This window comes from Homo sapiens, chromosome 4 (genome assembly GCF_000001405.40).
Source record: "Homo sapiens chromosome 4, GRCh38.p14 Primary Assembly".
Classification (NCBI taxonomy): domain Eukaryota; kingdom Metazoa; phylum Chordata; class Mammalia; order Primates; family Hominidae; genus Homo; species Homo sapiens.
In genome coordinates, this window is record NC_000004.12 from 530,300 (window position 1) to 542,538 (window position 12,239).

A 12,239-nucleotide genomic window follows, 5' to 3' on the forward strand; every position below is an offset into this window, starting at 1 on the left:
GTGCCGCGGCTCCTTTAGTCAGCAGTGCTGGACATTTACTGGTTCCCTGGGTAGATAGGTGTGTTTTTCATGGGAAAATGTTTTTGAATTTTTCTCACTGGTGCTAATGAATCTAACTTGTTTTGCTCTTTTTTAGGGGTATTATTGAAGCTCGTTTTGTTTATGTCTTTGTCCTTGGCATTCTGTTCACGGGCACCAAAGACTTACTTAAATCTCAAGTCATTGCTGCAGACTTCAAACTCAAGACTGTAGGTTTATGGGAGATATATAGTGGATTAGTTCTTCTGGCAGCCTTGCTCTTTAGACCACATAATCTTCCGGTCTTAGCATTTAGCCTCTTGATTCAGACTCTAATGACTAAATTCATCTGGAAGCCCCTGAGACACGATGCAGCTGAGATTACTGTGATGCATTATTGGTTTGGTCAAGCATTCTTCTATTTTCAGGTAGGTTTTCATTATTATCATGGGTAGTAGACTTCATGTTTTACATATTTATTTTAAATTTTTCTTTGAGAAAATGTTCCCATAAGTTGGAAAGTGACTGTCAGTGTGGCATGGTGAATTACGCTGAACTCTCGTGTATTTTATAAGACAAAGTACAGCCGGTTGTTTAAGACACGCGTCCCAGGTGTGGATGTGTGGGTGCTTAAGACAGCAGACTGCTGCTTTGCTGGGCCAGGCCTGGGTTTATTTATTACAAGCAGTTCAGGAAGCACAGACATCACGTTGTTCACTTGCTTCACTGATGAATGTAATAATTGTTCTCGTTCATGCCCTTTGCCCCTGGTGTCGGGGCTGTCCACACTGGGGACCATTGGTGCCCCCATGATTATTAGCTCCCTGAAGCCTGGTGGGTCGTCAGGGCTTCTGTCCGGTGTTTAAAGACCCATCCCAGACAAGCCCAAACCACCTCAGTTTGAAGAGACATAGAGGGACAGGCAGACGGGGCCTCAGAGGGATCCAGCCTCATCCAGCCTCCCGGCAACCTCAGGAGAGCAGGCCAGATGGGGCCTCAGAGGGATCCAGCCTCATCCAGCCTCCCGGCAACCTCAGGAGAGCAGGCACAGCCCTGCTGGTTCCCTTCCAGTGCCGACTCCCAGGCTGAGTCGCTTTGCAGCAGCTGAACGTCGTGGTTGCATTTTGGTCTCTACCGTGAGGTCTGTATTTTCTTGGTGTGCACCGGTGTCTGCCTGTCCGCTGTCTCGTACCCAGGAGGCATGTGCAGTTCTTTGTGTCCCTACAGGGCCTCTCTTCCATCCTCTTCTCCTTTCCTGGTGCTCCCAGCCTTTCCCATGGAACAGCCCACAGTTGCAGGATTTTCTGTCTTTATGTCTGTCCCCCTGATCCTGAAGCCCAAAGGTGGTAGGCGTGAAGTTACAGAAGTCTGTGTCTTCAGGTACAATGAGTAGGTGGCCAATGGCCAGCTTCTTAGCCCCGTCCTGGTGCTTCCCCGACCCTTCTGATCCGCTCAGGCCCCTGTCCTCCTCGTACACAGCTGCAGCTCTCCCTGCCATGTCCACGCAAGGCACAAGGGTGTCCCCAGCAGAACTGCAGGCCTGGATGCTGGTATCCAGCACGTTCAAGCCAGGTGGCCTCCGGCAGGCTCTTGCCACACCTTCGTTTCCTTATCTGTAAACCAGGGATAGTGGTCTCCCGGCCTCCCCAGGACCCAGCCCTCCCTGGTCTCCCCACCTCCCCGTGGCCCCTGTTTTGAGGCTGAGTCCGCTGCCCCTCAGTGTTAGATCTCCTCTGAGAGGAACCTGTGGCTTTGCTGCCCATCCCTACTTCCTGCCCTCGACTGGGCAGTTCCTTAACAGATCAGGGATCAGGAACATGACTGCCCTTGCTCATCTGCTGGCCCTCCACATTTGCCCAGTCCCTGGGTCTCTCTGCCTCCGTTTCCTCCCTGTTTGATGAGGATAATCACGAAGCACATCAGGACTGTTGGGTTAGATGAAGTCATGCAGGTAAAGCTGCTGTGCAGCTGCAGACATGTCAGCATGGCTGGCAGTCTCTGTGCTTGGCTGAGCCTGCTCAGAGCCACAGTGACCTCCTAGGTGTCCTCCTCCCCTGCTCCCATCGTGGCATCTGGGACTCTGTCCCCCTGCCACCCTCCAGGGTCTCCTACTGCTTCTGCCTGTTTGCTCTCTCCTCAGTCTCCCTGCAGAAGAGCTTCCAAGTGGAGGAGACACATGACTGGGGTGGCACCGTCCAAGAGAGGCAGTAGCTGCGAGTCCAGTGGGTCTCAGGGCAAGCCAAGTCAAAGGGCTGGGGCCTAAGACAACAGGGATAGGAGTCAATGCACATCTGTGAGATAATGGGGAAGCAGCATCAACATGACTTGGGGACCCCCTGGGCCCACAGCTCTCTGCATGGAAAGGGAGGAAGGAGCCAAGCTGGTGAGCACCCAGCCAGTGTTTTGTGGACATGAACAGTTCTGGTTCTGGAGAGGGATCTTCGTTGAGCTTGATAGAGACATGTGCTGTCGGACTGTAGATGTCATGAGTTTCTGAGGAAAGGTCAGCATGACAGGCAAGTGACAGACATCAGAGTCAGTAAAGATGGAGCGTGGGGAGGCGGGGCCTGGGAGCAGAGAGGAGGGGCCTAGGAATGGAGAGGTGGGGCCTAGGAGTGGAAGGGTGTGGTCTTGGAGTGGAGAGGCGGGGCCTGGGAGCAGAGAGGAGGGGCCTAGGAATGGAGAGGTAGGGCCTAGGAGTGGAAAGGTGTGGTCTTGGAGTGGAGAGGCGGGGCCTGCGCAGAGAGGCAGGGTCTCTCAGAAGACCCCTTTTTGGGATCCAGAATCACTAGGAGCAGGGTAAGCTGTGTGGCATCAGCGCTTGCATCCTGCAGGGAGTTACCTACCAGGGCTGGGCCGGGACTGGCCAGAACCTTGACAGATGAAGTTTGACCAGACCAAGTGAGTCCTCATGGTCTGATACGTAAGCCAGATGTGAGTTACCAATTTGCACCAGGGGCTGTGCTCCCCCAGTGGCTGGCCTGCCCTCCACCATATAACCCACTGGCAGCACCTCACCGTAGATGGGACCTGGCTGGGTGCCCGTTCTAGTCTTCAGCCCAGCTCCCCGCTTGGCTGGGCCCAGCAGCTGGCCTCTCAGGGCCCTATGCGCCCCTCGGATGGGGGTCCTTGAGGGGAGCTTCATGTGCTTGTCTTAAGTCGATGGGTCTGGACAAGGGTCTTAGATGTGGCACAGTCAGCCAGCCGGTCTGTGTGTGCGTCCCTCTTCAGAGGGGGCCCCAGCTTCTGCACGGTCCGCTCACGTGCCCTTCCGCAGCCTGGGCACTGCAGGCAGGGGGAGGGGGTGCCACCTAGGCAAGGCCAGCTCGGCAGTCTGAAGGAACGGCTGGGCAGCCACCTCTGACCACACGTGTGTCCGTGCCGGCGTGGTTATCTGGGCTGCCTACACAGTTCACGCTAACATCGTGGCTCACGCTAACATCGTGGCTGTTGATGCCACGTGTTGTGAGGCCTTTGTCAGCTCTTCTCCTGTATTCCAGGGCAACTCCAACAACATTGCCACCGTGGACATCTCCGCAGGCTTCGTGGGCTTAGACACCTACGTGGAAATCCCAGCCGTGCTCCTGACAGCGTTTGGGACGTACGCAGGGCCTGTGCTGTGGGCCAGCCACTTAGTGCACTTCCTGAGCTCAGAAACACGCAGGTGAGGCGCCTCTCTGCCGTCAGCACAGTTCTGGGGGCCGGCTGCCTGGTTTTAAGGGTCGTACTTTGTTCCAGATGCAAGGGGGTCTAAGCTCCATGGGTCCAACAGTCTTTTCAACAGTTTTCTTTTCCTTAAATAGGGAACGGTCCAAAGCTCAAGGGCCAGAAGCCGGCCTGAGGTGTCCGTGTAGGGCCAGGGTCGGGTCTGACGGGGCCTCGCCGGGCTCCCCAGGGTTGGGTCTGACGGGGCCTCGCTGGGCTGCCCAGGTCACACCAGCACATGGTTTCTAGACACAGGAAGGAAAATTCCTTTTCCCGCCACTCCAGGTTTTTCTGTTTGCTGGTGGCCAGATGGAGGGCGGGTCGTCCTTCCCCTTTGGGGACATGAAGATAAAAGACGGCTCTCGGCCCCCAGAGACCCTGCTGGAGCGCGCAGGACCCTGGAGAAGGCTCCTGGCCAGGGCCGTGGCTCTTCTGAGTCGTCCTTGAGTAGCTAGGGGCATGTCCCTTCCACACATAAGCTGATTTGGGTTGGAAAAACAGGGTGGGGGGCACAGGGAAGTTCAGAGACGTGAGCCCCGTCCCCTGTCGCTGAGAAGTCCCTTCAAGCTGCGTCTGGCCTGCCCTCCATGCTCTCCTGCCTGGTCCACCTCGTTCCCTCCAGTGAGCCTGAGGTCTCCTCTCCAACACCCACCCGTCTCCTGGCAGCTTCGTGCAGAAGTTCCACCGGGGGGACCCCAGATCAAGGGTGCAGTGCAGCCCCTCATCCACATCCCCATCTCCTGGCAGCTTTGTGCAGATGTCCCCGGGGGATCCCAGATCAAGGGTGCAGCCCCCCATCCACACACCCGTTTCCTGGCGGTTTTGTGCAGAAGTTCCCCCCGGGGGACCCCAGATCAAGGGCGCAGCCCCCCATCCACATGCCCGTCTCCTGGCGGTTTTGTGCAGAAGTTCTCCCGGGGAAACCCAGATCAAGGGTGCAGCTCCCCATCCACACGCCCGTCTTCTCTGCAGCGTTCCCACCGCCGCACACTCTCTGCTTCCTCATCGTATGTTTCTTGCTCCCCCAAGAAAGGAGGCTTTGTGAGGCAGGGGCTTCACCCGCTCTGTTCACCATAGCAGCCTCAGTGCCTGGCCTGGCGGAGTCAGGTGCTGAGTGGAGTGTGGCGGGGGTGGGTGATTCTGTACCTCCCAACTTGGTCTGGCAGAGACCCCAGGGCCTGCAAAGTTATTCGACTCACATGTGCCTGGTTTTCCCATCTGTAAAACGGGAGTTGCTGGGAGCTCAATGGGGGACACTTGGAAGCGTTCACAGCCTTTGGAGGGGCTAGTGGCCCCTGCGGCATCTACTAGAGTGCCCCGTGCTCCACGCTTGTCCCTGCTGCCAGCCACAGTCACGAATCCCCGCAGCGCCTATGCATTTCTGCGTGTGCTGAAACCGCGCACCGCGGCCCGGCCTCCTCCCGGGCAGGCGAGCGTCTGGGACACTGACTGGACCAGCCTCCCGCACTTTCTGGGTGGCTTTGGGCAGGTCAGCCAGAGCTTTGCGTGTGTCCTGTGGTGACCGGAGGCCCCAGTCCTGCCGGGAGCCCCAGGGAGCGCGCTGTGGCCTCTCCGCTGAGCAGTGAGGCTGGAGGGCTCCTACGTCCTCCCATGACTGAACCGTCGCTCTCGCGGTGCTGACTGCTGAGCCCCCGTGCCAGCCCTCCCAGGACACTTGGAGGCTTCTCCTGCCGAGCTGCCGGCGACTCCACAGAGCATCTGCACGTTTCTGTGGTCCCGCTCCGCCCTCTGGCTTCTGCTCCACAGCCTCCTTCACCAGGTCATCCTCTCAGCTCCACGCAGGTCCTCTCCCCGCCTCACTCCCCTCCCCAGACCAGCTCCTGAGACCCAGGCCACAGGGACCCTTGGCCTTGCCTCCAGACCCAGATGCCCAGCCCCCTGTCGACATTCCGCAGAGGTGTCCTCGGGCTGACAGGACTGAGGAGCCCTTTACAGGACATGCGGGCAGGGCCCACGCACCCAGGCACGCACACCCGTGCCTGCCTTTGAGCTTTTCCCACCCTGAAAGGAGCCCCTCGCCGCTCACGTCCTGTGTTGAGGCTCTCACAGCATGAGTGCTTCGGAGCCAGAGGAACCGTCCACCATGGTGGAAGTGTTCGTGCCCCGCAGACTCGGCGGGCCCGGGCTGGACCCCTCAGTCGCTCACAGGTTTCCGTAAGGGGTCGGGGGAGCATTGGCCTTGCTTCAGCAGTGATAGGCGCGTGCCTTCCCACAGCGGACATGGAGCCTTTCCAAGGGGAGAATCGCTCCCTGGCCAGACTGCAAGCTTCCCGGGGACAGGAATGCCTGAGATCCACCTGCCTTTTCTTCAGGTGCCTGTGGACGCTTGACACGCCCACTTTGGGGCAGTCTGTGGACAGACCCCCGTAATTTACAGTCACCGCTGAGCTTGTCATCACAGCAGAAAGCTGAGGCTCTGCGGGCGGAAGCCACCAACAGACCAGCTTGGGAGACACCCACTGTGGCGGCGCTGTGTGGAGACGTCCTTCCAGACTTCGATTCTGCATAAAAACAAACATCTGCCACGAGACCCCTGCTCGGCGTCCGCCTGTCTCAGCAGCTGCCCTGGGACGTCTTTCTCTGACTTGGTTTTGAGGCCAGCCGCGTGCTCACACTGGCCTTACAGAAACAGGAGACGCCGTCCTCGGCCGTCTGGGGTGGGCTGTCAGCACGTCGTGTGGTCAGGTGTCAGGACAAGCGGGCGTGAGCGCGTGGAGGTGCATCTGCCTCTGCCCTGGAGAACGGATGTGCTACAGCTGTGCGCGGCGTGATCAAGCACCTGTTGGGTGGACGGCACACCTCCCAGTGGCCAGCTGGAGACGGAGGGCTGGAAGTACTTGCCCGGCTCCTCTCTCTGTAGGTTTGGTCTTCGGCCTTGCAGCTGCCCTGGTGCTTGCAGATTGCGGTTTGATGGACCAGGCACTTTTCATCTCTTACACAGCCAGGCACGTTTGTGTTTGGGAGGGAAAAAGACAAATATTAAGTGAGGTGAAAGCATTTTGATCAACTGGAGAGTATCATGATATTTTTCCTAGTCAAGAAGCATTTCTCCTTCATTTTATAGGGTTTTCTTCTTCCCTTTTAAAAGTTTAAAGCATCAAGTTTTACTCATGGTTTCTATTTTGTTTCAGTAGAGTAGGAAAACTATAACCAGGTCTAAATTGTAGACAGAGAAAATATGTTTCCAAAAGGTCAAAAACGTGGCCTTGAGTGGTTGGCGACCCTCTGTTCCAGGGGCTGGCACCCCGGGCTGCCTGCTCCCCTGCAGCGCAAATGGCTCTTTGCTAAAGTGGTGGGAACAGCAAGCCGCCATCTTCTAGGTGGGTAACGCTATAAAGTGTTAAACTGAAGTCAAGGTGGTGCCATGTCTAAGCCACAGCTTCCCCATGCGCTGTCTGGGTAGGATGGGGCCACGGCCCACTTAGCCACGAATCTTCCTGCCCAGTATGTTCACCTTTTCCTGGGTGTTGCTGTCACCAGGAGGTGTATTGAGGATACCTTGGGGTCCACCTCCCTGTGGGGTCCCCGGCCTGTGGGGCTGGATACCAAGTGGTGACCAGCGGTACGGGTTTGGGGGACCCGCCTAAGGAGCCAGGGCCTGGCAAGGAAAGCAGTGAAAGGACCAGAGGCACCGGCCACCCACCGGGAGATCCCAGGGTCTGAGTATTTTACTGGAGCACATGGCGGGCTGAGGTGAAGGAGTGTTTGGAGAAGCCAAGAGGAGGATGGGCCCCTCCAAGGCCTGAGATGGGGAGCCGGTGGGGGGCTGAGGTGAGGCTGTGGAGGGGCCAGAGACAGCCCCGTCCTTGGCCCTTCGTGGCTGTTGACACCCTTTCCTGAGCAGTGAGCACTGAAGCAGGAGCCACTTACAGGACACCCTCAAGTAATACCTGGTGGAGCTGCTGGGCTGACAGGACTGAGGAGCCCTTTACAGGACATGCATGTGGGGCCCAGACACACATACGTGCCGACAGGACTGAGGAGCCCTTTACAGGACATGCAGCGGGACCCACACACCCACACACACGTGCTGACAGGACCGAGGGGCCCTTTACAGGACATGCAGCGGGACCCACACACCCAGACACACACACGTGCCGACAGGACTGAGGATCTGGGGGCTGCCTCCGGGCCCTTTCTAACAGAACTTGATCAGAGGTCATGGATGAGGCATGGAAAGTGCCCAAATAATGTAATTTATCATTTTTCAATAATCACAGACTCAGGGAAGTTGCTTTGAGGAAGAGATTTATGTAGTGTGTTGGTGGTTTCAAAACTAGGGGGTACATTAACATACTTCGAGGGGTGGCTCTTATTCCGAGAATTTGCTCAGCAAACCCCGCTGGGCCAGTGTCCCCAGACCAGACAGTCCTCCACACCACAGCAGGGAGAAAAGCTCAGAACTTGTATTTATGTTTATTTGTATCTCACCCTTTTGTGATTTTCTATTCATCGTTTGTATTTTATAATGCATGTGATATAGTAGCACATGCATATATAATTTTTAAATAACTGCAAAGTCTGGGGGGTGCGTTTTTCAGAGCTGTTTTACAGATGACGGTGGCAGACAGTGGCTGAGCAGTTGGGGCTGCAGCTCATGTCCCCTCGGGCACCTCCGTGCCTTCTGGAGACTCAGACCTCTGCCCACCCCAGACCAACCACATCCAGATTTCTGTAGGGGGGGCTCCAGAGTGGCACTTCCAGCACATACTGTAGGTGATTTTTACATACAGTCAAGTTTCAGAAGCATTTCTGGAGAGCTCAAGGTGTGTGTGGGGGGGGACATGGTGGCCCTCACCCATCCTTCTGTTTGCTTCATTTTTCTTCATGAATTTGTCTCTTCCTGACATGTTACATATCTGGTTTCTCCTGCCTCCTTCACTAGAACACAGCCTCCAAGGGGGCAGGTTGGGTTTTCCCGTCTCCAGCGCATCTGGAGAGGCACCTGTCCCAGCACCATAGTGACTGGATGTGTGTGCAGAAGAAGGAACGCGGTGCCCTCTACTCCAAGGGCAAGAGCTACTGGAGTCTTTTTGAAAATAAAAGTGTTGTTACATGTGTGATATGTAAGTGGCATGTGCTAATACACATTTTCTTTCTTATTAACAGTGGTTCAGCACTGAGTCATGCTTGCTTCTGCTACGCACTGATTTGTTCTATTCCAGTTTTCACGTACATCGTTTTGGTGACATCTCTGCGTTATCATTTATTTATATGGAGTGTATTTTCTCCAAAACTTCTCTACGAGGGAATGCACCTGCTCATTACAGCTGCTGTCTGTGTATTCTTCACGGCAATGGATCAAACCAGACTCACACAGTCTTAGACTAAGCTGAACACTGGAAAAATAATACATGCTTAAAGTCTGCTGTTATTCTAAAATGAAAGATATGAATTCAACAAAGTTGATGGATAACTTTCTTTGACTGCTCTACCTGAATTTAGACTAAGCAGTAAATAGTTTAATAAAAGATCACTTTAATATACAGTTTGTATCATATTTTCCCCCATTGACAATCACTCTAGAAGCTTCTGAACTTTTAATTTCCTCTGAATAAGCTATGGTGTGACCCAAATATGTGTGTTTAAATCAATGAATGAAAAGGTTCTGGACTTTGTTAGAGTCCAGGAGCTCTGTGGGAGGAGGCACCCAGATTACCTTAGGGAGCACAGAGCTCTTAGAATCCTACAAACCACTGAGGGCCCCAAGGCGCTTTGGTTTATGAGGGTTACATGTATCAGTGTTTATGGCATTTGAGATGAAAACTAAGATAAAAAAGTATTCATTTATAAGGAATCTATTGCATATTAATGAAACACTTGAAGGAAAAGTAACTATATTTTCCAAAACAAAAAAATTCAGTGAGACCCAGCACTTTGGGAGGCCAGAGTGGGGGTATCACTTGAGCCCAGGTGTTTGAGATCAGCCTGGGAAACATAGTGAGACCCTCATCTCTCCAAAAACTTCAAAAAATTAGCTGGGCGTGATGGCACACACCTGTGGTCCCAGCTACTCAGGTGGCTGAGGAAAGAGTATTGTTTCAGCCGAGTTCAAGGCTGCAGTGAGCCATGATTGTACCACTGTACTCCAGCCAGGACAACAGAGTGAGACTCTTGTCTTTAAAATGAAAAAATAAATGTTTAATGAGAAAAGTGATAATGTTTTACATTTTTACAAACCTCTTTAATGCCTGGCCTAATTGAAGCTAGTTGGATTTTGTGTTTGACCTGTTGTGATATGTGTGTTTGGTTACAATATAAGAAGAAAATCGGCTGGGCAGAGTGGCTCACACCTGTAATCTCAGCACTTTGGGAGGCTGAGGCGGGGGCAGATCACCTGAGGTCAGGAGTTCAAGACCAGCCTGGCCAACATGGTGAAACCCTGTCTCTACAAAAATACAAAAATTAGCCAGGCATGATGACAGGTGCCTGTAATCCCAGCTACTTGGGAGGCTGAGGTGGAAGAATCGCTTGAACCAGGGAGGCAGAGGTTGCAGTGAGACAAGATTGTGCCATTGCACTCCAGCCTGGGTGACAGAGTGAGACTCCATCTCAAAAAATAATAATTATTATATATATATGAAGAAAATCCAGCCTCAGATCAGTAGTTGGAAAGAGGAGGCATATTTTAATGTCCTTTTTCTGATTATTGTGGATGTTCTTTTTTGATACCAACACCAAATCTTTTTTGATGCCAACACCAAAACTCAACAAATGTTAGTTTGCTGAAGGTTAGTTGGACAAAAAGAAAAGAAACGAGTGCATATAAAAACTGGTGAAATGCTACTGAGGGCTGTATTCGAATTAATAGAATTGTGCCCACATCATTTTCCTGGTATTTATCTGGTTGTGTAAGATACCATCATTGGGGGGAGGTGGGTGAAGGATATGTAGAACTCTCTATACTATTTTTGCAACTTCTTGTGAGTCTTCAACTATTTCAAAACAAAAGTTATTTTGAAAAAGAAAAGGTTAGCTGCCATGTGGAATCTGAAATCATATCAATGAACTTTCATGTCCTGATGCATTACGACACATTGACCTGTCTTGCACCCTGAATGGAACTTTTACCCAGATGTGATTCTTAACATCTGCATTGTTGTTTGGAAAATAACAGTTCACTGGATGATAGAAATTTCCAAATGTTGTTCATTATTCCATACCAAAATCACTTATTTATATCACAACCGAGCTCATCAGAAAAGTCTTTAAAGAGTGAATGGTGGCTCACGCTTGTAATCCCAGCACTTTGGGAGGTTGGGGAAGCAGGAGGATCGCTTGAAGCCTGGAGTTTGTGACCAGCCTGGGCAATGTAGTGAGACCCCATCTCTAAAAAAAAAATTTGAAAATTAGCCAGGTGTAGTGGTATGTGCCTGTAGTCCCAACTACTCAGGAGGCTGAGGCAGGAGGACCACTTGAGCCCAAGAGTTCAAGGCTGCAGTGAGTTAGGATTGCACCGTTGCACTCCAGCCTGGGCAACAGAGCCAGGGCCCATCTCTAAAAAAATAAAAATGTGAAGAAAAAAAATCTCACCATCCAGAAGAAACAGTCACTAACAGTTAGTGAATACAGTTCACTAAATGGAAGAAGCAGGGAGGATGCATAGATGCATACATGAAAATCATACTATATATTTATAAATATTTTATATAAATATATATACAAATAATATATAAATATATATACAGATAATATTTATATAAATATATATGCAAATATATAAATATGTTCATGCAAATAATATTTTATATAAATATATGCAAATAATATTTTGTATAAATATGTATGCAAATAATATTTTATATAAATATATATGCAAATATTTTATATAAATATATGCAAATAATATTTTATATAAATATATTTATGCAAATATTTATATAAATGTATATACAAATAATATATAAATATATATTTATGCAAATATTTATATAAATATTTATACAAATAATATTTTATATAAATATATATTTATACAAATTATATATAAATATTATATATAACTTTTTAATCCAAAGTAGTTATATAAGTTTTTAATTTAACAGGAAAAGTGAAACCAAAGAAAAGGCTGAATTTTGAATAAATGTTTCTTCACTACAAGAAATATACAATATTCTTTTAAAATTAATTTCTTATAACATCTATTAAGAGAGCTGGTAGCTAACAGAGAAAGGGCAGCTTCTCAGGCAGAGGATACACAAAGCCTTGTTTCAATTGGAAGGCTGATTGTCCACATCAAAGAGTTTCTGCCTCTTCATATCTGTAACTATGGAATATTGATAGGACAATGCAATGACAAGATTGATACTGTTTTAAAGTATTGTTTATGCTATACTTTAATTCATTTATCCTCAGTGGAGCCCTGTGACCAAGTGGATTTTTTTTGTAACACCAATAACTTGATCAACTTTGACAATACAATCAAAAGATGTTTGGAGGGGAAAACACTAGAGGGATCATTACATGGTAAAGTGATTTTTCATCCATTCGGCCAC

At 50.7% G+C, this 12,239-nt stretch overlaps 1 protein-coding gene across 25 annotated transcripts in view; it reads left to right on the plus strand.

Annotated features, from left to right (window-relative positions):
* PIGG (phosphatidylinositol glycan anchor biosynthesis class G (EMM blood group)) overlaps positions 1–9,901 on the plus strand; it is a 40,991-nt gene extending 31,090 nt beyond the window's left edge. For 18 of the 25 annotated variants that reach the window (NR_144329.2, NR_144327.2, NR_144332.2 and 15 more), the window contains 3 exons: positions 137–446; positions 3,519–3,682; positions 8,854–9,901. Coding sequence is in view for 14 of the 25 variants with exons in the window: in NM_001345994.2 (NP_001332923.1) it covers positions 137–446; positions 3,519–3,682; positions 8,854–9,070 (691 nt within the window). In the remaining 11 variants the exon portion in view is untranslated. The other 7 variants (NR_144331.2, NR_144334.2, NR_144330.2 and 4 more) reach the window with 4 other exon arrangements.